The sequence below is a fragment of the Homo sapiens genome, chromosome 8, assembly GCF_000001405.40.
Source record: "Homo sapiens chromosome 8, GRCh38.p14 Primary Assembly".
NCBI classification, from domain to species: domain Eukaryota; kingdom Metazoa; phylum Chordata; class Mammalia; order Primates; family Hominidae; genus Homo; species Homo sapiens.
This window is the reverse complement of record NC_000008.11, coordinates 106,443,971-106,470,723: the sequence shown is the minus strand read 5'-3', so window position 1 is coordinate 106,470,723 and position 26,753 is coordinate 106,443,971. Positions and strand designations below refer to the sequence as shown.

At 36.9% G+C, this 26,753-nt stretch overlaps 1 protein-coding gene across 5 annotated transcripts in view; it reads right to left on the bottom strand.

Moving 5' to 3' along the window:
* The window catches only part of OXR1 (oxidation resistance 1), a 482,517-nt gene that overhangs the window by 281,971 nt on the left and 173,793 nt on the right, over nucleotides 1–26,753 (bottom strand). For 3 of the 5 annotated variants that reach the window (XR_001745547.2, NM_001198532.1, XM_006716595.3), the window contains exon 1: nucleotides 22,676–22,800. The exons of the other annotated variants lie outside the window; for them this stretch is intronic. Coding sequence is in view for 2 of the 3 variants with exons in the window: in NM_001198532.1 (NP_001185461.1) it covers nucleotides 22,676–22,701 (26 nt within the window). In the remaining variant the exon portion in view is untranslated. Of the gene's footprint in view, nucleotides 1–22,675; nucleotides 22,801–26,753 lie in introns of those variants that run through there. 5 annotated transcript variants of the gene reach the window in all.

The following is a 26,753-nucleotide window of genomic DNA, read 5'->3' as shown; positions in this document are numbered from 1 at the left end:
ATGTTGGATGCCCCAGAGCAATCTTTGGCCTTCTCTTTTCTATCTACACTTACTGCCTCAGTGAAGCCATGGCTTTAAATACCATTTATATGCAAACAATTTCCAAACTTCTATCTCCAGACCAGATCTCTCCAAAATTCTCAAAAACCTATTGGCATCTCCATTTGGACACCTAAAGGACATCACAAGGTTCACATGTCCAAACTAAACTTTTATTTCCCTCCAACTATTCTACCCCCCAGTCTTTCCCATCTTGGTTGGTGGCAAGTCCATTTTTTCAGTTGCTCAGGCCAAAATACTCGGACTTATTCTTGATTTCCTTCTTTTATTCACACTCACCTCCAATCTGCCACCAAAACTTAGCTCTACATTCAAAATACGGAAATAACTGGAAGAATGGTTTCCATTATATTTTTCTGGTAGTGCATCTTCTGGTTTTTAATATACAAACTTCATAGGATGTATGTACTTTTAATAGGTTTATATGAGAAAATTTAGTATTTACAGATGATGTCTTCTGCTCAAAGTCCTGCAATGACTATCCTTTGCTCTGAAAAATAACCAAAGTCCAGGGAGCCTACAGGCCAATCACGAGATACTTCCTCCAACTCCATTACCTCACTGACTTTCTTTCTTACTATTCTTTCACTAACTCATTGCACTGTAGCCACTCTGGCTTCTTTGCTGCTCCCCAAACTGATCAAGTATATTCCTACCTAAGGGGTTTTGTTCTACCTACTTGCCCTGCCTAAAATGCTTCCCCCACAGATACCTGTTTCGCAGATTCATTTGTGTCTTTCATTCATGCCTTTGTTTCACTTCATTTGCACCTTTGCTTAAACTCACCTTCTTCAATGAGGTCTACAGACCTGTCTGACCAACTTCTTTATTACTGCAACCTGATTTTACCCTTGTCACTCCAGATGCCTATTTCAGGCTTTACCAACATATCGTAAGATATATCTGTTGCCTGTTTTTGAATATCACTTTTGTTTTAACCTTTCTACATGTGGGAACACCAAGGGAGACCTTGAGGATCCCTAATTTATACAACTCATGATACTGACACTGTTAATCACAAGCTGCCCATTTACTTGACTAAATTGTGCTGCTTACTCAAAACCTGTTACTTTCTGTCAACCCTAGCCAAGCATTCAAGTCTACTAACAGCCAACACATTTGTTCCTTTATATTTCTATAGCTGAGGCAGAAATTAATTGAGCTATAAGCCAATACTGTACATGCTCTTGTATGTATAACTGTGCTCTCACAGCTCCTGCCATCCCAATTTAAGTATTCTAGCTCAGCTCATTTCTGACCAATTGGATCAGAAGTAGACATATGGCCCAGGGCAAATCAAGTGAAGAGTTTCTTCAGTGAAATTTGAACATAGATTCAGAGAAGATATGTAACCATTCTCATGCATTCAAACTGGGAAATTACGTAAAGTGGAGCTGAAGAACTTCTGGTTGGCCATAGATTACCAAAGCAGAGAAAGTCTATAGGCAAGAAGGGAGGGAGGGAAAGAGGACGAGAAAGAGAGTATGAATACGAATGAATCCCTTGGTTCCTGATAGCTTTCTGTTGACTTTGGTTATCATGTTCACAGAAGACTTCTCTGAGGTGTTAACATTTGAATGAATATGTAATTATTAGAAGATAGCTATACATATACTACACACACACACAACAACAACAACAACAACAACAACACACAAACAAACAATGACCACAACAACACTTCAGGATGAGTAAGTATTCTAGGCAAAAGGAATATGTAGTCAGTTTCTTATGGCGACTGACTACCTTTCTGCCCTTGATTTTCATGAGCTATCTTCCTTACGATAAATTCTTTGCTGTTTCAACTAACTTCAATATATTTTTGTCTCTCATGACGAAGTAATCCCTAAAATGTACTTTCTCTTGGCTCAAGTTCTGCAAACATTATTAGACTCTCTGTGTTCTTTCTTGTCCAACTGCAATCCGTTCCACAATCCAAGCCATAAGGAGCCAGTGTAGCCCATATTAACCATAAATCCAAATATATCACATCATAATTTAAAACTTTCAGTGACAAACAAAATTCCTTACCATGACTTCCCCAAAGATACTACCTGACCATCCCCTTGACTAATATTTTTTCTCCATGGTCTCTTAATCTTACCCTTGTTCACTCTCTTTCCACCACGTTGACATACTTGTTCTCCTTCAAACATACCCAGCTTACTTCTGCTTTACAGTCTTTGACTATGTATTCCTTTGGCCCAGAATACTTACTCATCCTGAAGTGTTGTTGTTTTTTGTGTGTGTGTGTGGATGTAGTATATGTATAGCTATCTTCTAATAATCACATACTCGCTCAAATGTTGGCACCTCAGAGAAGTCTTCTGGGAACATGGTAACTAAAGTAAACTCAAAAATTGTTTAGTTTTCTTCATAGCACTTGTCACTTTCTGATCCTATTTACTGTTTGCATGTTTGTTTCCTTACTATACTCATTAAAATGTAAGCTCCTTGAGGGTGAAGACCTTGTTGGTCTTGTCCATGGCTGTTCTCTCCAAGACCTAGAATGGGGGCTGGTGTTGGACAAACATTTATCATTAAATAGATAAAGAATGAATAAATACACAATGCTACTTATCTTCCTGTCTTCCTGTCTCATTCCCATAATCATTACCACCACAGACTAATGGATCAAAAATTTATCCATCCATCTCCATCTCTGTCACTCTCTTTCTAGCTCTAAACATACTTTTCCCTCATACTTTAACCTAATTTAATCACCCAGGCCATTTGGGATTAATATCTAAACACAAAGAAATAATTAGCAAAACGTTACTATCTTCCATTGGTACAATTTGGATACTTGAAATTATGGTTTTACTAATTTGTCAACATTGTCTCTAAGAAAGATTAGATTCTTGAAGTTCAGAAATACAAGAATCCAGTGGGGAGAGATATCCTCCATGGATGTCTTGTGCTCCTACACATCTCATTAGGAGTGCAAAGCATGTAAGTAAGGCCTTGGCTTTTCTTTCCCTGGCCACTTCTCAGAGTGTATTTGCCAGGAACAATCTTGATTAATGAGATAATGTCACCCTTCCAGACAAAGAGCAGGTTTGCTTACTGCTTACAATAAAATGAGTGGATTTCTAAAGCTCAATATTCTTTTGTAAGTATAGCTTCCATCAAGATCATCCCTGTGAGATATGGAGGCCAGAAGCAAGGACTTAGGCTGAGGGTCATGCTGCCTATCAAGCCACCAGGAATAAAGCTCTTTGTGGTCATCCATGAAGCAGTGACAGGCTAACTTGCAAATAGGGTAAAAGCAACTTTGAGACCCGATGAATCCCACTACTATATTTGTTAGCAAGTATTCAAGTTCAGTCAATATAGTCACAGAATACAGCTTCCATCACCAAGACTAGCCCTGAAAATATTAGTACAAAAAAGCCCACTCTTCATGAACATGATAATAATTGCTTGTTGTTTGCTAAACTAGACAGAATGAAGGAAGTAAGTGAAAAGTGGATTTCAGCTGGTGACCTGACCTTGAGACGTCTTGGTCATCTCATCTCTCAACAGTGGATGAAATACTCTGGAAGGTAGTTTGGAAGTGAAAAAAATGTCAGGCTTTGGGAACAGACTTGGGCTGAAAACTTGAAATTATCACTAGCAGCAACTTTCTTTAACTAAAAATTGGAAAGGATACTCCTTAGTTTATAGTGTTGTGGAATAAAGATGCAAATATGAAATACCAAGTACTATATCAGGTATGTTGTAAGTAATCAATAAGTATCATCATTTATCAGCTGTACAATATCAAATAAAAATATCTATTAGCCATCAATAGTATAAGTTATATTTTAATATGCTTAATCAGGGTTGTATTTTGCATATATTTACATGTATTCAATATCCATTATGAGGATATTGTCTGTATACAGAAAAATGACATCTGTTGAGGCTCTTCCATGACGCAACACTGTGGTATGTGTTTTCCAGTATAACTAAATTACATGATGCAAACTGTAGATTTTCTTAGTGGCAGGCCTTGAGCCTTTCATCATTATTCTATTTCTACATTTATACTTATTATAAAAATGTATTTCTTCTGGGGGGGAAGTCAATAAATGTAAACTGGATTGGAAATACATTACATTCTTATAAATTAAGTTTATAAGATGTAAATTTTTGAATTGAGAGCAAAAAAATCCAAAGATAACCATGTGATTTCTAAGTTAAAGGTTTAACTTCTGAAGAATAATCACGAGCATGATCAAACTACACTAGTTTAATGTAAACTATTAGGGATAAAAGAATTGGCATTGAAAAAGAAGTCCCTCTTGTCTGCCACACTCTCCCCACAAAAAAAGTGACTCTGGGTGGTATAATCCATATTTCAAAACAATAATATTAATATTTCCTTCCTACTTCTATAATATTTTCTAAAATTATACTATGAACACTGAATTTCATGAAACAATGACAAATGTTCATCTTTTCATTAAATTCAGAAATCATCTAAAGTAAGATTTTAAGTGTCTATCATGTGTTGCTGTACACAGGATGCAAAAACTTATAAGACTCAATTGAGGACCAAATGGTATAGTAAGGAAAACAGATATATCAAGCACAAAATATGTGGACTATTAGAAGTTTATACAAGGTATAGAAGTAGGTCAGTAGAGACATTGATGAATACTCTTTGGACAATGATATTAAAGAAGGCTTCTTAGAGAAGATAATGTCTGAGTCAGTCTCATTTGCAAATGAATAAATTTGAGACTTACAGTAAGTGGTTGAATCATACATCATACGGCTAGTTCATGGAATACTCAAGAATAGAAACCAATCTCAGAATTCTCTCTTGGATAAAGTACTATAATAGTATCCTGCCATTATGTTCAAATTGGTGAAGTTATCCACTCTAAATCTAGTGATATAAGAGAAAGGATGTTGACAGGTCATGATGTTTCTCATATTGCTAATGACAGCTCTAGTCTTCTAGTTACTGAAAACAAAAACCCTGGTATCATTCCTGTTCTTTCTCTTTTTCTTACACTCCACAACTGGTCCCTCATCAAATCTTGCAGGGTATACTTTCAAAATTTATCAATAATTTGACGACTTCTCATCCTCCCACTACCATTACTCTAGCCCAAGTCAACAGCATCTCTTACCTGGTCTCTCTGCTTTGCCTTAGTCTACTCTTAAAACTGCATCTAAAATGATCATGTTAACATGTAAATCTGATCACATCACTCTTCTGTTCAGTACCTCTAGTGGCTTCCCATATCAATCAGTGTTAAAGCGAAAGTCTCTGCAATGAACTACAAGGCTGTACATGGTTTGACCTCTTATTGCCTCTCTGAACTCAACTCCTATTACTCCTCCACCCCTCCTGCCACCTTGATAACACCACTTTAATCACATTGTCCTTCAAGCACATCAGGCATGCCCCCACTTCAGGCCTTTGTACCTACTTTCCTTCCACTGGGAATGCTCATCTCGCAGACATCCACAGCTAACTCCCTCACTTCCTTCCAGTATCGATCCCAAATCACCTTCACATTGAGGCTTTCCATGGCCAATCATTTAAAATGTCACCCCACCCAACATTTTACATCCCCCTTCCATTTTTTATTTTTCTCCTTAATACTGAAAATTATTTAACATACTCTATATATTAAGGTACCTTGCTTATCTCCCCTTTCCTCCTGGAATGAGGGCAGGAACTTTGATCAAACTGTTTTCCTTACTACTTTATCCCTAGTACCTAGCATATAGTAACTACTCAATAAATGCTCATTGAATGAATGAATGAGTATAAATGTAGTGACAGCAGAGAAGAGGCCCATCCTCAGTGATACAGAACAAGGAACAGATAAGAGATGACAGTCCATGGTTATTGCGTAATGAAGCCCGAGATATGCTTCGTGCTCAATAAATACTCATCAAATAAATGAATGTTTTTTAAAAAATATTTCTTCCAGCTACAGGATAAGTAAGACCTGCCACTCAACAACTATGAAGTCAATAACAGAAAAGGCAGATGGACTGACTGCCAAGAGTCTGTCTCACTGCTACTTCTACTGCACTAGTGCCAAGCAACCTGGGGATATCTCCTAAGGATAGCTGCGATAGGCTGACATTTGTCACGTCGAAAGCTCCTGCACTCAAGGAGGAAGAGAAAAAAAAATACCATAATAGAAGTCAGGAAATGAATAGTTTCTTCTTTATGTCTTTGTTTCAATTTTTGCATTTTTTAATGCCAAAAAATTGTCACGGGGGCAATAAGCCTCTTCTCACAGATGCACATATCTAATTAATTAATATTTTCGGTCTAGGAATAGACAACTTGGATTTCCTTCCTCATAGCTTGACTTCACTCCATTAACTATGGTATCAGTTTTCTCATCACAAAATAAGAATAAAAATATCTCCATCACAAGATGTTTTGAGGATTAGTGCAATATTGGGCTTGAAAATGTTTTTAAAGCATTAACTGCTATTATTATTCCAAAGGAAATATTTGTGGAATACAGTACCTTTCTATGAAGATTCTGGGTTCAGGTCACTAGGCTACAATAAGACAAAACTATGAGAATATAATCAGAGATTTTTAGAAATTCGTAGGCTAAAATAAAATTAATAAATAAGTAACAGAAAAAAATAGGTAAGTTCACTTAACTGTAGAGATAAATAGATGAGACCCTATAACTACATTCTGCAATTGGAACGATCTGTAGTTTTGAGTGAAATCAGTTATGTATCTATGAAGAAACTGAGGCTCTGAGCAATAATTGACTCTGTGCTACACAGATAAGTCAGGCTTAGAGCTCAGGTTTTCCTATTTCTAAATCAGGATTCCATAATATAGCAAAAAAGCATTTATTGAGCTCTTCCTAAATGCCAGTGTTGTCCTAAGCACTTTATATGAGTAACAATATGATGCTGCTGCTCTTACAATCCCTACTTCACGGATAGGCTCGTTTAGACAAAGATCAGATATGTAATTTAGCAAGGTTACACAGCAGGTAAGTGGCTAAACTAGGATTTGAATCAAGACAGACTGATACAGCCTCGCTGTGCTCCCAACATCTATGCCACTTCTCTAAGCAGAGATACATTGCTCAGCCTTCCATCATGTATTCTCATCATACAAAATTAGGTCTTGGGGTGAAAAAATCTTAGCATAATGATTCTGGAACTCCAAAGGGCCAAAGAACATAAACAGACATGAAGTATATTTGTGTTATTAACATTTTATTAAGGGGAGATTATGAAAAACATGTCTAAGAACTCTTCTTATTTGAGAGGCATGCACAATTATTAACATGTTGAGAAATACTGCCTTCGATTGATACCTGACTTAACAGAGAAAAACTAAATGTTTATGCATTACATTGAAAATGGATTCAATAAACCCCCCTCCCATTAAATCTCTTCCTAACTCCACTTAGAATACTATTGTAGTTGAAGGTCACATGAAACAGTCATTTAAGTAAGGAGAGCATCGAGCTTTATTAAGGCTGACAACCAGCCTCTCTCCCCATAATTTTTTCTGTGTTCTCCTTGGCTTGCTGTTCTGTTTCTCCAAAGTGTATAAAATATGGGCTTAGGGAAACAGGTATTCACTCAAAAGAGTGGAGGTGACTTATGGGTCAACCATTTACTGGTATTGATAGATCATTTTAAACCCTCTGAACCTCAGATCTCTCACCTATAAAATGGAAATAATAAACAATGAGGTGTAATAAAGAATTATAAAAATGTTAGGTATTATTATTATTGGAAAGAATGTAGGTGGTTTCACTTACTATTACTGAACTACAGAAATAATTTAAGTGTACTTATCTATATTGTCCCCACTGATCCTTCCTCAAGATATGGTGGGTTGATCATTATTTGTTCTCTTGAACACATGAGAAAAAATGTGGTTCAGGGAAGTGAATGCATCTCCCAAGGTCACAAAATTAGCAACTATCAGAACCAAGTCTTCTAACTCCTGATGCAGTGCTTTCTGGCAAATGTTTCTGTTTATTGCACATTATTAATAAGTAAAATTTTGTTGACTTTTGAATATATTAATTAGTTTTAGGAAAACAAAATAAATGATGATGCTGAGAAAAGTAGGAAATGTTTTCACCATGATAATGTTTCTGCTGACTGATTCATTCTTCAGAGGCTCTTATTTGACTTTTAAATAGCTTATCCAAGGTCTTGTGTTGCATTTGCTATTCATTCAGAGAAGCAAAGTGTTTTCCCAAAGTTCACCCAGGAATTGTAGAGTATATGAATGGGTAATGATTTAAACAGAGGTGAAAAAACAAACTAACATATTCAATGCAGAAAGAGCAATTAAGAGGAACAACATAATATCTCATGTATACATCTGTGCGCTGCCTGAAGCATAACAATCAGGTAAACCTTGTAACTTTTAAAGTTTAATAAAAACTATTATAGGAATGTGAATACATAAATCTGGGAAATCTAACTTAAGTTCTCTAAATGGTTTTAATTCTGCTATATTATTTGCAGAGGTAGGATTTTCTGGGACAGATTATTATCCTTTTCCATAATTTCTTTAATGTAAGACATACAAAACAGACCAACAGACCAATAAACCAACAAAAACCAGTCTGTAAGGTCACCCATCATCTTAAACATATTAGAAAAAGAAGACATTAATACAAATGACTAAAATTAAACACAAAATGGAAATAAATTCACTAGTAATCCAAGTCCCTTTAAAGTGAGTCAGGATCCTTTTCTCTAAACATAGTTTCAAAAATGCAAGTTCATGTTGCATCTTTAGGTGTTTTAATTTGAATGTTTCTTATAGATGATAATGAATAACCTGTGGTATTAGTCACATCTGATTCACACTCATTAATGAGTAATTTCCTTTGGTGCAATAGAAACACTCATTCCTTATATTTTTGTGACACTGCGCATATTATCTGTTCCGATCTGCAAAACAATCTGCAGGTGACAAGACAGGTAATATTATTGTCAATTTACAAATAAAGAAACTGAGAATCAGCAGGAATCCTGTATTTCCAGGCTTAAAATAGTTTTAAAGGCCATGTATTTAAACTGCATTCCCAATGCTTGATTCCTCTCCAAAATTCCTTTATTTATTTGTTTTTATTTTTGAGACAGTCTCACTCTATTGCCCAGGCTGGAATGCAGTGGCGTGATCTCTGCTCACTGTAACCTTCACCTCCTGGGTTCAAGTGATTCTCCTGCCTCCTGAGTAGCTGGGATTACAGGTACACGCCACCATGCCTGGCTAATTTTTGTATTTTTGTAGAGATGGGGTTTCACCATGTTGGCCAGGCTGGTCTCGAACTCCTGACCTCAAGTGATCCACCTACCTCAGCCTCCTAAAGTGCTGGGATTATAGGCATGAGCCACTGAACCTGGTGAATTTCTCTCTAGAATTATTTTATATTTAAGTACATCTAAGGAAAGAGAACTCACCGTCTCCCAGGGGAGACTACTCTTACTCTAGCCAGATCTGAATTTGAGAAAATTTTTCTTCATAGTGAGCTAAAATCCATTCCCGTAATCTCAAACCACTAGCCCTAATTTGCTTTTGAGGCCATACAGGACAAATCTAACTGCTCTTGAATAAACAGATTCACAAATACACGTGCTTTGCTATTATGTCCCCCTAGTGTTCTTTCCTTCAGGCTAAACATCTGCTTGTTCAGCTCTTCATGTCTTAAATATATAAATATAAAATATATAACTAATATAGATTTTAATTTAATATACACGTGCCCATTAACTTACTTGCACTTTATATATAACTTCTAATATAGAAATATATCATCCAATTATACGTAATTACATATGTATATAAATAGCTGTAAAACATCCTTTTCATATTAGTCTATGATTTTGGCTCATCCATCAGTCATCTGTCTTAGACCAGTGTACATGGCTAGTACATTCTCAGTACAGGGAACGATTTTGCCTTACAGAAAGTCTTTTCCTTAACGAGACATGTTAAGGAGAACATGCCCAGAATTTTTGAAACATACCATCAGATGAATGCTTATTAACTTACTTTTATAAAATGACAATATTCTACAAATTGTTTCACCAGCAGTGAACCTGGTTTTGCCCAGGCATGAGGCACAGCCACTTTTAGAGACTTTTAAGCCCCTAGCCACCATTAGAGCTGCTTCTGAAACCAAGGCATCACTTTACTTGGTGCAAATACTTTCAAAGTACCAAGCAATGGAATAGTAGGAAGTAGAACACAGGTCTTTGTGTCTCATTAGAATCCACATCATTGTCTTCTGTGCAGTCCTCAGATAATTGGAAGCAGAATATAAGATTGCGAGTCATGTTTCTCATATATAAAAAGATGAAGGCACTTAATCCTGTGCATGGAAACTGACAAAGGCAGCTTTTAAAGGATAGGGCAGACTCCGATGGTGTAATGTAAGTCTTTACAGATATTTCTAGGTGTAAAGAGATTCTCAGTGATCTATTCTTTGGGTAACTGTCAACTTAGAAGTCAGTGATTGAGAGCAATGGTGTTAAAAGTAAATTTAACGTGAGTAGCAAGTGACAAACTGAAATTCCTAAGGCTAGGACCATCCCTGCCTTGTCAACTATTGCATCTCTTGTACCTAGCACAGTGCTTCCACAAAGCAGGCACTCAAAAAACATTTTATTTTAAAACAAGTAAATGAATTAATGAATAAGTGACTGTGAGGAGTTGACAGTCAACAGTCAACTCTATAGCCAGAGGAAGAGAAACGTATGGATGCTCCATCTTCCCTTGATTGTAACATGTGCTGGCTTGTGGCACCTGATGAAAAATGAGAGTTAACCATGTATCATCTTTCTGACAGCCTTTAGTATAAGGAGTGTCTTTTACGAAATTAGTGAATAAGTACACAGTGTGGCAGCTGATGCAATAGGAAACACAAGAAATTTATAAATGAGGCTATATCATGACAGACATATTAAGCAAAAGGAACAACAGATATGCTATGTCCTGGGCTTTTCAAGATTTAGGACTGCCTTCCTTCTAATGAAGAGCTCCTGCATAGAACAGATAATGGTTAGCTTATTGTAGATGGGGACAGGAATAAAGAAGATTTTTCCTAACCTGTGCTAGAAGCTAGATAGTTAGAAGGAAGTAATTATTTTTTTTTTCAGATAAGAGTATGCTGGCTTTATGTATAGGTAATGCGCTTGTCTTTGTCTGCTTTGTATTGCTATAATGGAAAAATACAGACTGGATATTTAATAAAAAAATAAATTTATTCCTCACAGTTCTGGAGGCTGGGAAGTCCAATAATCACAGTGCCAGCATCTTATGAGGGCCTTCTTGCTGTGTCATACCACGGCAGAAGGCAGAAGGGGAAGAAAACATAAGAGAGGGCAGGGAAGGGGGCCAAACTTACCCTTTCATCAGGCACCCAATAACGCAATAACTAGCCCACTCCCCAATAACAGCATTAATTCTTTAATAAGAGGTGATATAACCACCTCTTACTAGGCCCTATCTCCCAACACTGTTGCACTGGGGATTAAGTTTCCAACACATGAACTTTGGGGGCTATGTTCACACCACAGAATTCTACTCCAGGCTCACCAAATTTATGTCCTTCTAACAGTGCAAAATACATTCATTCCATCCCAGCAGTCCCAAAAGTCTTAACTCATTCCAGCATCAACTCAAAAGCCCAAAGTCCAGAGTCTCATCTAAATCAGATATGGCTGAGACTCAAGGCATAATTCATCCTTAGATAAATTTCTCTCTAGCAATGAGCCTATGAAGTCTGCAAATTACATGCTTCCAAAAAACAATGGTAGGACAGGTATTGGGTATACATTCTCATTTTAAAAGGGAGGACTAAGCAAGAAGAAAGGGCTAACTAGTCCCAAGTAAGTCCAAAACCTAATAGGGAAAACAACATTGCCTCATAGTTCCAGAATTAACCTGGGCATACTGAGGCAGGCATTGGGCTCCTAAGGCCTCAGGCAGTCCCACCCCTGTGGGACTGCTGGGCTCAGTCCACCCAGCAGCTCTCCTAGGTTAGAGTCTCATGCCTCCAGTTCTCCCAGGCTGATGCTGCAAGCTGGTAGCTCTACAGTTCTGAGATCTTGGAAGTGGCCCCACTCTCATGGCTCCACTAGGTATTGCTTTAATGGGGGCTCTCTGCAGTAACTCTACTCCTGTGAGAAATCTCTTCCTGGGCCACTAGGCTATCCACAACAGTCCTTGAAATCTTGGTGGAGGGAGCCAAACTTCCACAGCTCTTGTAATCTGCATGTCTGTAGAATTAGCACCATGTGGACACCCACCAGGGTTTACAGCTTGTACCTTCCAGAGCAGCAGGTTGAGCCACATCTAGGCCCAACTGAGCCACAGTTGGGGCAGCCAAAGAGCACTGCACCAGAATGCAGGGAGCAGAGTCCCATGGCAGACCTGGGCAGCAAATATTGAGCTTTTAAGGGAACCTCTCTGGAAATCTGGCCCTCAAGTTCCTAGCTTGCCTCAAAAATCTTTGAAATGCCTTTGGGGTCATTCACTCATTATCTTGATAAATAGAACTTGGCTTCCTTCTATCCATATTAATCTCTTTAGTGATCAGTTGCTTGGTCAGACCCTTAGAATTCTCTCCTGAACATGCTTTTTTATTCTTTATGCAGCCAGGCTGAGAGTTTTCCAAATTTTTCTGTTCTTATTTTTTAGCTATAAACTCAGTCTTTAAATCATTTCTCTCCACTCGCATTTTACTATAACTAGTTAAAAGCAGCTACACAGCTCTGTCAAAATTTTACTTAAAAATTTTCTTCCACCAGATATCCTAGTTTATTGCTCTTCAATTCTGTCTTCCATATAGTCCTCAGGCACGGACACAATTCAGCCAACTTCTTTGCCATTTTGTAAGAAGGATGGCCTTTCCTTCAGTTCCCAATACCTTATTCTACATTTCTAATTGGGAGCTCATCAGAATGGCATTTACTGTCTATATTTCTACCAACATTCTGAGACCAACCACTTAAATAATCCCTAAGAAGATTTAGGTTTCCCTATAGCTCCTGTCTTCTATGCCTTCATCAGAATTGTCCTTAATGCTCCATTTACAGTAATCTAGCCTTTTCTAGCCTGCTCCTCTGAATTCTTCCAGCCTCTATTTGTCACACAGTTCCAAAGGTGCCTCCACATTTTCAGGTAGTTATGATGGCACAGCCCCACCTCTTGGTACCAATTTTCTGTCTTAGTCTGGCTTTTGCTGCTATAAGAGAATAACACAGTCTGGGTAATTTAAAGAGGAAATACATTTATTTCTCAAAGTTCTGGAGACTAGAAAGTCCAATATCAAGGTGCCAGCAACTTGTGAGGACCTTCCTGCTGCATCATCCCATGACAGAAGGTAGAATGTAAAGAAAACATTAGAGAGCACAGGGAAAGGGACCAAAATCATCTTTTTATCAGAAACCTATCCCAAGACAACTAACTAACCCACTTCTGGGACAACAGCATTAATCTTTTAATAAAAGGTGACCTAATCCAAAGTAATTATTGTGCACACCAGTGAATCCCAGTACCTAGCACAGTGATTGGCACACTGACTGGCACATTGGAGGTATTTATCAAATGTCTTTAATAGATAAGTAGGCATTCAACTAATAAATTCTAGCTCAAGAAATGGAGAACTACTAAAAATTTTGATGAGAACTGTCTAAACAATAATGCCACTCAGATGGCTTAGCCACTTAATTAAAGGTCAATTTGATGATGTGTTATTATGTACAATGCAAATAATAAATGCAACTGGAATTTTCAGAAAGAACACACACACATACAACACACACAAACACATGCACACACATGTTTCTTTATTTGGTCTCCTGGATTCCTGAGTCTCCATCCATCTATCATTCCTTTGGTTGACATGGGACTTAATGTTTCATTTCATGACCAGTTCAAAGAAGAGCTGGGCAGAGGGATTAACAACGCTCAAAAGGTAATCAAATAGCTGCCAATGTATTGTTATGTTATCATGGATGGATATTCTATAGATTATGCAAGCTGCAAAGAAAACATGTAGGTGAAATCATGGTGTGGAGAAAAAAAACCCACAATAGTTGCTCATCAAGATAGATTCCATTTGTTTCTTCTTCAAATTACATTGATGGCATTAAATAACTTCCAACATACTTATTTTATCAATAAAAATAAAACAAGGCAATGGTGCTAGATGTATCAAAATCCATTATTTGATCATTTTTTCAAGTTTTGTTTTTATTTCGTAAATAATCCAATGCTTTTTTAAGATAAATAATGTTAATTCTGCTTCTGCGGAGTATACTAGAAGCCCAGAAAATCCTTAATAAAAAGCTATTCAGGAAACAACAACACTATGAGACGGTCATATGACTCAATGAATGAATTTGAATTGTTGGAGGAAGCAGGCAAGTGGGTAAGGGACAGAAAGACAGTATCTTCGTTCTGTTCCCAGCTATATCTTCATCCTCTGGGTGACCTATGGTGACTCACATCTCTCTGAGTGCTTGCAGTGACTCAGAATTGTTTTAAAAAGTTTTTTATTTAATTCTATATCATAGATCATTTCCGCTGGAAAGCATACAATACAAAATGATCTCTTTTTATTTCTTTCTTCTATCTATTCAAAGGAAAAGTTATTAACTTCCTGTATAGATTGAAGTGAAATGTCATTAAGTTTACAGAATTTAATAGTGAAAAACTAGTTATAAAAATGTTATAGAAAATATTTTTTAAAGTTTTTGAATTATGTGACTAAACAGCATTGAATTGTACAGTCCAGAAGCAAGAGCTCTATTGGAATTTGGGTATTAATCTAGGTCTATTGGGAAAACACTAAATATATCTTTCATGGTATCAGATTCAATGGATCATAATCTAAAAATACAAACTTTCAAACTTCCTTTTCTTTAAGAATTACTCAGAATCCTGGGAGTCAAAAGAGTCCAAAGGTATGACTCTGACCCCAGGTAACTGCATTTCTGCCCAGTATGCCAGGTGACTGATTGGACTGACAATATTTTCAGTAACACTGCTCTAGGGGGTCATCACCTGTTCCTTTGTTGGCAACTCTTTGAGAATTACATTAACATCTATAAATAGAATGACTCATGACTAACATCAGGAATTCAGACACAGACTCTTAATTTTAACACTCAGTAATGAAATGAGAAGACAGTTTTAAAGGACATGCATTTGACCTTGGCTAATGTTTTTATCAATAGACAGTATTTCAACTGAGACTTTACACTTGCTCCTGAAAGTTCTATAATTGCTTTTAGTTGTCTTATTTAGGTTCCGGTCTCTGGGATGATTTTAGTGTAAAAATTGTGAAGATATAAATTGTCATTTATCAAATAGATTGTTCAATCCTGATGAAATGCACAAAAATATTGGGTTAGTGAGCTTTTTATTTGTTTATTTTGTAAGACATGGGCCTTGGCCAACACAAAACTTAAATATTCTGACTAACTCAAAATAACAAATCCTTTGTTAAATGATGCTTGACCAAGGGCACCAAGTCATATAAAAGCAATAGTAACAGAAGTCCTCCCTGGACAACTCTGGAACTCTAAACCACTCCATAAGCAAATAAAAGGAAGGAAATATATCAAACCATATTTAATCAAGTTTTATCAAATAATAGCTGTGTGCAAGCAGCAAGGGTACAGACAAAAGTACTATAGTGTTAGTTCTTATCTTTCAACATGCATACTAAAAATTGTCAGAAGTATTCAAATAAGTATACACAAAATGCTCAGAGGGTGGCAAGGCGGAAGAGACCCCGTCCATCTGGGGAAGTAAGAAAGGCTTGAAGATGGCAATTACATTGGAATGAATGCAACAACACAGAGTCAAAAAAGCATCTGCCCCAGTTCACAAAATCTCATAGTCTGGAGTAAAAGTGTGAGGGATTGAGTAGTGGGAAGAGGAAACTGGAAGAGTATGTTGGGGACAGACTAAAAATACCATATATTGATTCCACGAATAAGACAATTAATATCATCAATTCTGAGACGGACTTTAGTTATTATTATTTTTTAACATTTTAACACCTCTGAAATGAAGATGCTGTTGGGTTGGTAGCAGTTTTGATGTTGTCACTACCTATACATGGACATCAAAACTTGCAAAGTAGGTGTCAGCAACTTGAAATAAAATTACTTTTTAAATTTTATATATATACATATATAATTTTTCTTTTTTTTTTTTTTGAGACAGAGTCTCACTCTGTCTCCCAGGCTGGAGTGCAGTGGCGCCATCTTGGCTCACTGCAACTTCCCCTTCCCAGCTTCAAGCAATTCTCCTGCCTCAGCCTCCCGAGTAGCTGGGACTACAGGTGCATGTCACCACGCCTGGCTAATTTTTTGTATTTTAGTAGAGACAGGATTTCACCATGTTGCCCAGGCTGGTCTCAAACTCCTGAGGTCAGGCAACCCACTTGCCTAAAATCACTCTTTTAAGAAATGCTTCAACTCTAATACTCCTGATGAAATGGAGAATACTGTGTGGAAAAACACAAATCTCAATGATTTGCAGGTAGAAAGAGATTCATAAAGGTCAAACTTAAAATGTAAAGTTGTAATAATTACTTTAACCAATGTATTTTTCTTATGTTTCCCTTTTATTTATGCATTAGAGTGACATATAATAAAATCTTTTTTCCTGAAGTATAAAAATGGTTTTTCAATAAGAATAAAATAAAAATTCAAAGAATAAGAATGCTTTGTGCCTTAGTTTAATTGGCAGGTTTTTTTCTTAGCAGTGTGTAAAATAATGGTGTGTTTTCTGATCACACCATCTTAGATTTGATGAAATGGGCTACTCAGCCCATGTGCATTGTGCACCTAGGCTATGCCAAGTACTATGCTATATGCTGGGGGGATAACAGTGAGGAAAACATGACAATGTCTCACATCTTACAGTGCTTACAGGCTCAGGTCCTGAATTATGGCTGAAAGGCCTGGACTATGTATTATAATTGGATGCCACCATGAGAGTTTAAGAATAGGAGTGATGCAATCAGAAACATTTTGAGGGAAGTTAGCTCTAGCAGTGGCATATAGGAGAGAAGGCAGGAAAAGGAACTGGTGGTAGGAGGAATAGTTAGAAAAGTCTTGAAATAGTTTGTGTGAGAGATAATGAGTGCCTGAATTAAGGCATGGTCACAGGCAGAGAAAGAAAAAAGAGAATTTAATCAACATGATTCCTACTGCTCATAGTTCATGATCAAAGAAATCCAGCAGACAATTTCAACTGCCTTCACATTGATGGAAATATACTAAAGCATTTGAGAGCTATTCTATCATCAAACATATTTTTCATTTTCAAAGTGGTCCATGTACTTTACCTTTGGTTAGCCCAACACTTAGGGCAAGGCACCATGCTAAGCCCAGGGAATACAAAGAAGAGTCTTCCCAGGTGAGGGAGAGAGAGATCCATGGGTGATGTGATGACACCAATGTGATTATGTGCAGTAAAGCCAACTGGGTGAGCTCGAAGTGCACAGCACCACTGGAGATGGAAAAGATCTCCAAGGGGCAGTCACATCTGACCAGGCACTTGAGGAAGTAGTACAAGGAAGTCATTGTACATTCTTCTACGATGCAAGAAAGGGCATCCTGGGCAGAGGTAAGCTTGTGCAAAAACAAAGAGGTGAGAAAGAGCAGAGCACATTTGGGGCAATTTTCAATATATGGCTATGGCTTAGTACAAGATGCCTATCAATAGTGGGAGAAGTTCGGGGCAGATAATCCAAAAGGCCTTACATCTATTAAAAGATATCAATTTAGTCCTAAAACAGGACAGATCCACTAAAGGATTGCCTATGTTTCATTTTATGTTTTTTAAAAAGGCCCTTAAAATGTACTGTAAATTGGATTCCACATAGAAAGAATCCTGGGAAGAATTTTCAACAAGTTTCAAAACAAACAACAAAAAGCAAAGGACAAGATTTCAAATGTGACCCCAGTTTAAGGATGCAATTAATTTGAAATGTTCTCATAAAGTACAATTCCAGGAACAGTAAATTGGTGACCAAGTTAAACTTTTGTTTCTTTAAAAGTCCAATATCAAATAGAGCAGGTGGCCCTATTTTCAGAATAATTCCATGATGCACTTTGACGTAACAGAAAGAAAAGGTATCCATAGATACAGAATGTTGTTGGTGGTGATTTTTAATTTTTGGTAAAGATAACAAGATATGAAACAATTTTCCTGTTAATTAAAACTTACTCTATTTCTGAGCATGATATTTTAAAGAAATTTTATATATATAATGAATATTTGGATATATATGTGGTTAATGGTTATTTTAACAAACATTTTGGTTTGCTGAAATTTTTATAGGCTAAATTAAAAGATAGTGCTGTCTTTAAGTTCAGACTTACATGGATTTCACAGATTTAAGAAAATGCAATGGAATAAAAATTTCAGCTAATATCATGCTTCTCTTCTGGATATTTGTGGAGTTCGGTTTCCATCTTGTATCATATTTAATTTACCATTGAAGAATTAACCACCTCTTTGTCCTGAGTCTGTAATTACACATGAGCTTACCAGACAGAAACCAAATGCAGATGGAGTTAGGAGCTAGACTATGTTCCATGTGTCCTGCATACAATATGTCGGCTAGCCTCTGGGACCCCAAACTGAGCACACAGTGGACATTTAGTCAAATATGCTCCCGCTCCCCAAATCATCTCACGTTCTCGTGTTTTTAACTTCCTACTGTTTGAGCAGTAGCAGCGTTCCTGCTGTTACACACATTTGTTTTTAAGCATGTAACTCTCAGTCTCACCCACTAACCTGTAAAATTCTGGAGAGCAGGAATCATGTTTTATTCATTTTTGAATATTCTTATTTTAAAAAAAGTCAAGGGACATGCAAAAAATAAAAGCTAAAGAAATGTATGTTGAACCAAATTGGAAATATATGCAGAATACTTAAAACTTCTATTGCTAATCTCAACAGAGACGATGTTCTAGAAAACAATCAAAATCTTATACTATATCAAGCAACGTAATGCCTGTCTCTGCGCTATTTCAAAATCATAAAGTTTTCAACCAGCATACTTCAACATTATCAAAACTAATATTTGAAAGAAAAAAGAAAATTTCCTGTTATTCTAAATTAAAAACAATCATTATATAAATTGAAACTGAACTGGCTTCCAAGTGAATGATTATGTATATACAAAATTGCTTAAAATGGCAAAGCTAAAAGAACACATTCTTAACTCTATTCTGATCCATGTATAAGAATGAAAACTATAATGTATTCTACAGATAACTTTTTTGTTTTTAAATGGGCATAATTCATCTGTATAAATAAAATATATATTAGAGCCAGTATATATGCTTGTAAGATTTCCAATTGCAATGATAATAAGCCAAACTGTTTGCAAGTATAACACACTCAGATGTGGTCCTTGATTCCAGGTAGTCTAGAATGGAATGTTCAGAGTATCAACATGAAAACTCACATGCTCAGGTGACGGCCTTCTTGTCCTCACCTCAAGAGCATATTGTTTTACACTAAACCCTGAGGGAATGAGCACAATTTCATTTAGACATTAGAATATTTATTTCAGACACTGGAGCTGTTAAGAGAGTCAGGCTCAACATCTTTAGCCTTGATAGGTTCTATAGGAGTGCAAAGGATGTGTTATATCCTTTCTCGGTTCCCAATTTGCAGTGAGAACTTCACTGAATATCACAGTTTGCTGCTTTACAGAATACTACAAAATTAGCAAATTTGCTTCAGTTCTAGAAGCAAGAAAAGTTAGGGGAATGACTAGATAAGCTGTTTGTTCTTAAGAAAGGAATTACTTTTCTGAGGTGCACAGGCAAATTATCAATCGGTGCCAAAGCTTTGCTTTGCCTTAAAACTAAAACTTAAAAAAAAAAAAAGCACCCTCTTTCAGAGCTCTGTAAAATGAAAGTATAAGAGCATTTAAGGAATCATACTCCTATGCTCAAGAGATACTTAGGTGGCTTTAAAAGGTCTGCTCTGTTTTACTTGGAATGCTAGTTGGCACTACAAGGAGTTTGGGACTGGCAGTTTGTTGTGTACAGTGCACTGCTGCTGCATCAGCCAAGAAGAGCAGACTCTTAGGGAGAATGTCCTAGGCAATGTGTTGATTTCAGAGCTGCCTCTCTTTTCCTGCTTCGTATTTTGATAGCTTTTGCTTTTCCTTTTCAAACCATAATTTAGAACTGCAATAATTTAGTGTTTTTTTCCCTTTCCAACAACAAAAATTTAATATTAAATGTACCCAATTCCTTCCACTTTGCTACAAAGAATCTAAACTGAAAATAGCACACGGACAAACATGAAAAGATTCACCACATTCTTTCAGGTGATATGGAGTAATTTAAGAAATGTGTACTTGGGAGGCATCCAGACATAATTTTGATCACTTAATCACTAAGAAATTGCAGCGTTATGAGGAACGTCTTCATAAGCAGACCTTAGCTTTGGTAAAAGCACCTAGCTCATTTCACTCTTTCTGTCAGGTGTCTATTTAAAACACTCAAGGAATTGATCATTCTCTTATCTGAACATCCATCATTGCATGAATAAATTATGATTCATTCATCACATGAAATATTATGCATCAATGCAAAGCTCAACTACAACTTTACTGGCCTGGAGTAAGCACTATGATATATGACTTCATGAAATATCAAGTTTCAGAGTAATGTTTATATTGTTATTTTTGTTTAAAAGTGTGCATGCCTGTGAGACAGCATACATGTGGCAAGCATGAAGAAAAATGTGAAAGTGCTCTCCATGCCCAGAGAGTAGGATTAGAAAGGGGATGTGGCCCCTACTGACTCCAAGGGACAGCAAAAAAAAATTAAAAGACAAAAAAGTAAAAGAAATCCTCTTAATGTGGCATCATTAAGATTTTTCTTTTATTTGTATCAATATGTACATATTTTGTAATTTGAATATCTAATGAAGGAAATGTAAAAGGAATTTTAAACAAGTAATTTGGGATTGGATTTATTTTAATTTTTAAGAAATCTATTACCAAGCTTCTGTGGACTCTACCATCATCATTTACTAGCTGCGTGGAGCTGGATAATTTGCTTACTCTTTTCTTATCTCAGTATGCTATCAGTTACAATGGGAATTATAACAATACAAACTTTGCAGGAGTGGTTGTGATGATGCCGTTAACACAGGCAAAGCATACAGAACAGTGTGTAGCCTACATTCAACAATAACTTTGGCTTTGAGTAGAAGTGGTGTTGTATCTGGGACTACTTCTAAAGGAATAACTTGCTGAGGTTTCTGGTAATTCTATTGGTTCTGTGACTAAACCATATTCTATGTAGCTAGCTGCATTTGGCTCACAGCTATGAATGCTTTTCCTTGTTTAAATATTGATGGAAGGGAGGCAAGAAGCACTGCAAGTTATTTACTTATAATTAAACGAAGAGTCAAAAGTGATCAGAGGGGTAACATCAGCTGAGGGAGGTTAATTCTTAACAAGGCAATTTCAACCCCTAAAATATAAGTCAGGCAAAATTTATATTTTTTAAATTAAGTTTCCAGATAATTGTTGTTTTCTGGCTTCCAAGATGCAAATTCATGATTAACTATAAATGTCAAGCCAGGCAGAAGAGGGTGCTAATTAAGTAATCTGGTTAAGTACTCAACTTTCAAAAATTGTGTTTTTCTTACCTGCCCACCTATAAACTTTATACCAGAGAACAAAATAGCTTTAATTATATAAGAGCATAATATAATCTTGAAATTTAAATGATGTTAACAACATCAATGATGTTATCTATACCTGACAGAAATAACGAAAAAGAAAATGCATTCTTACAGTCAGGAATAATGAGAATTCATGAGTAAAGGTAGTTTGCTTCTGGGGGTGGTAGATTTCTGCACTTTTGTTTTAACTGATTTTCTAAAAGAGCACCTGGTCATCTACCAAGGGCAATGAGGCCTATTCCTGTAATGAGGTCTATGCCGGTAACAACTGAAAGTAAGAATTTCCAATAATTATTTTTTGTTGCTAGACCTATGCTATTATTAGTTTAAAATATTAAGTGGTTGAAACTATTATTCACAGAATAATATAGACAACATTTTTCATGATTTTGTTTTTTTCAAGTAATTTTAGATTATTTTAAATAATATATTTAAGCTGAATACAACATACTGAAATATATGTGCTTAATATATTTTAATTGAGAATACAAATTATGATTATCTCTCTAAGCCATTTAAAACCGCTTACACCAAACAATAAAACTGTGTTCATAAACGATAGGTGGTGCCGAGCTGAAATTAGGAAAAACAGCATTTAAAAATACGAAGAACTATGACTTTGAAAGGGATCGTATGCAATGAATACTGCACAGCAAACATATCAGAAGGGTTTTCCCTTTCTTTAGTACCTATGTTTTCGGCAGTCTGCCTTGTTCACGGTCCCACTTCGCCAGGAACCAAATGGCAACAGAAATCCATCTGTTTGGTCCCATAAACACAAAGATTTGATTTCTCACTTGCACAGAAATCAGAGAGCTATTTTATAATGGAACTAGGAAACGTTTTCTTCATAACACAGGAAGTAACAACAGATGGAGGCTGATAGATCCCACCTACCCTGGGCTGTTTTTGTCCTTCGTCATTTCTGTGCAGGCAGGCAGGCAACCTTATAGCTGTGTGGGAGCCGGGGCGGATCTGATCAGAGTTCTGTTACCTGTGAGCCCCGTACTAGATGTCTCGTTAGCTCCACCCACTACCTCCGCCAGGAGCCCGGCTGTTGGGGGGTGGGGCTAGTATCAGACCAACATCTAAGGCAAAAAGAGACCCAAATCCCACACAGCAAGCTGTTATCACCCAAAGAATATGCCGTTCGGTGTGTACAACGAAGGAGGTTATTAAATACGATGACTCTTCAGATATGTATGTGAGAAAGATCTTCTGGAAGTGTATTTTTCTTTGTATGCTACAAGGAAAACACAGAAGCGATTTAGAGATAGTGCCCATTATCAGACTTTTAACCAAGGAACACAAGTATATTGATATTGACATTGCTATCACTGTAATTCATTGTGTTCTTACAATGTGCTAGGCATTATGGTAAGTGATTTAAATGCATGACTTCGTTAATCTCACAGTGGACTCTAAGGGAGGTGCTATTCGTATTTCCATCGATCAGAATAAACAATAGAAAATTACCAAGGTTGAGGAACTTGCCCACGGTTACATAACTAGTAAGTGGCAGAGATGAGATTTGAATTTTGTCCTGTAAGAACCCAGACACTGACTTCTTCAGCACTTTACCATACTTCCCTCCCCTTCATACATTGCTTTCAGATCTTTTTATATCATCAGACCATTTTCCCTTTATATTAAAAGAAAAATCAGATAAAGTAGATTAATGATTTCTTGTGAAGCATTCTAATAGAGATTAGCCTCAGTTACCAAAAGTTACCAAACTGATTAGCCTCAAAAATTTGAGATGCCCTCAAAGTAACGTTTGACTTTTAATTTATTTTAGAAATAAGAGATATGTATGATGATACACAAAATTTGTAAACATGGTCTTCAGCTATAAATTACACAACATTATAACAAATAGAACTACCAGAAAGAATGAACTATGTGTCTTTTAAGGAATATGTTGAAGGTGGGATAAAAGCTTATTAAGTTTTCTTCCACCAGAGGTCATCACAAAAATTCAGTTTCCTTTCTTTGTTTTTTCTGTTTTGGTTTGGTTTTTGAGACAAGGCCTTGCTCTGTTGCCAAGATTGGAGTTCAGTGGCACCATCTTGGCTCACTGCAGACTCAGCCTCTCAAGTGATCTTCCTGTTTCAGCCTCCAGAGTAGCTGAGAGTACAGACACATACCACCATGCCTGGCTACTTTTTGTATTTTTCAGTAAAGATGAAGTCCTGCTATGTTGCCCAGGCTGGTCTTGAACTCCTGGCCCTAAGCAATCCTCCCACCTCAACCTTCCAAAGAGCTGTAATAGCAGGCATGAGTCACTGTGGCTGGCCAAAAATTTGATTTTTTAGTTTTTTTTTTTTTGAGATGGAGTCTTGCTCTGTTGCCCAGCCTGGAGTGCAGTGATGCTATCTCAGCTTGCTGCAACCTCCGCCTCCCAGGTTCAAGCAATTTTCTTGCCTCAGCCTCCTGAGAAGTTGGGATTATAGGCACACACCACCACGCCTGGCTAATTTTTGCATTTTTAGTAGAGAAAGGGTTTCACCATGTTGGTCAGGCTGGTCTCGGACTCCTGACCTTGTGATCTGCTCGCCTCAGCCTCCCAAAGTGCTGGGATTACAGGCGTGAGCCACGGCACCCGGCCTCAAAAATTTGATTTCTAAGTGGAGAAGTTCCCTGTGGATTCAGAGAAGTAATGAAACAGGATAGCCCCAGGGTATTTCCACACCTTAACTTGTAAAGAAAAGTAGAAGTGAGTTACAGCAATGTTCTTAGACTACAAGTTTATTTGTTAATGAACCACATTTGAACACAAGTGTCCACCTTGCAGATTTCTAGAGGGTATCAGGGTTGGGGAGACAAACCACTTCTCATCACCCTCATATTTTTCACTCTCATTCATCTGCCTGGACTGGAAAAGAAAACTTTCACAAAGCCAATCTCTATTTGATAGCCTAGTAAGAAAGGGTTCTTCTTGCTTCCCTCTGCAGATAGTAGGGTCTGAAAAACATTGTAAGGCCCTGGTCTTGTTACTGTTTCTGTTAATCAGCATGTCCAACCCAGGCGAAATTAAAGTCAACTTGTTTTTAAGAAAGGACATAGCCTGGCTCCACAAACATTTCATTTTTGCCACTGTTCTCCAGGAGGAGCTGCATTTTTCTTGCACTTGAAGAGGAGTAGGAAGATATGATTTGCCATGCCTAGAAATTCTTTCTAAAGCCTCGCAGTACGAATAGTGCTAAGCTGCGAATTAATTAGTATGAATGTCCTTTCATTTCTGCCCCTAACATTTACATTCACATAGAATCTGATTAAGTGGACATCTAGAGTATACTTAAAAAGTAAATAAGGTCTAAAATAGGCAACAGATGATGGACATGGTTGGAAATGATGGTAAAAATGATGACTTGGTAAGTAAGTGAGAGCGTGCATAGGAGACAGGCATGGTAATGAGGCTAGTCGTCTTTTAGCACAAGCTGGAAGTGGTGCATCTGGGGTGCTGTCCTGAATCATGACCCAGTTAATAATGAGCAGTTCTCAAACTGCAGGCACCAGACAGTATACTTCAGTATCCTGCAGATGGATTCACCTGGCACTGTGAAAATGCTAATGTTTGAATGGACTCTTACAATAAAGCTGCTAAGACTCATGGTACTTTTCACCTCTGTATTGTGGTTTGTTTTATAATGATTCAGATTTCACTCTTCTTTGGTATTTCATGCTACATAAAGCCTCTTAAATGACTGCAAACGTATCACTAGTCCATGAGGTTATACTAGAAATAAAATACGTAAGATGAGTGTGTTTGTCTACTTCACTGTACTCCAAGGCTCTTTAATAATAGGACAGCAGGTGGAGATTATCAGGAGTGCTTTAGCAGTTTCCATTTAATTCCCTGTAAATAAATGGCTCTGTTGGTAGACTCATTAGACAAAGGATTTAGAAACACTAGAAGAAGAACTCTCCTTGAATTCCTAATGCCTATTGCCCAGGGTCATATCTAAACTATTCATATTTGTTCTTAAATACTGTGATTTATATTAAATTATCATAATGCTAATATCTGTGTGGTGTATATATATATGGGGGGTATGTGTGTGTGTACATATACATTTTCTACAAGAATTTTGTAACTAAATTTTTCAGATGATACTATCCTTTTTAATATATCTTCTTTAAAAAATGGGATACATGTGCAGAACGTGCAGGTTTGTTACATAGGTATACGTGTGCCATGGTGGTTTGCTGCACCTATTGATCCGTCCTCTAAGTTCCTGCCCCTCACCCCCCACCCCCAACAATCCCTGGTGGGTGTTGTTACCCTCCCTGTGTCCTTGTGTTCTCATTGTTTAACTCCCACTTATGAATGAGAACATGCGGTGTTTGGTTCGCTGTTCCTGTGTTAGTTTGCTGAGGATGATGGCTTCCAGCTTCATCCATGTCCCTGCAAAGGACATGATCTCATTCCTTTTCATGGCTGCATAGTATTCCATGGTGTATATGTACCACATTTTCTTTATCCAGTCTATCATTGATGGACATTTGGGTTGGTTCCATGTCTTTGATATTGTAAATAGTGCTGCAATAAACATGTGTGCATGAATCTTTATAGAAGAATGATTTATATTCCTTTGGGTATATACCCAGTAATGGGATTGCTGGAACAAATGTTATTTCTGGTTCTAGATCCTTGAGGAATTGCCATACTGTCTTCCACAATGGTTGAACTAATTTACATTCTCACCAACAGTGTAAAAGCATTCCTATTTCTCCACAGCCTCATTAGAATCTATTGTTTCTAGATTTTTAATAATCAATTCTGACTGGCATGAGATGGTATCTCATCGTGGTTTTGATTTGCATTTCTCTGATGATCAGTCATATTGAGCTTTTTTTCATACGTTTGTTGACCATGTAAATGTCTTCTTTTGAGTGTGTCTGTTCATATTCTTTATCCAGTTTTGATGGAGTTGTTTGTTTTTTTCTTGTAAATATGTTTAAGTTCCTTTTA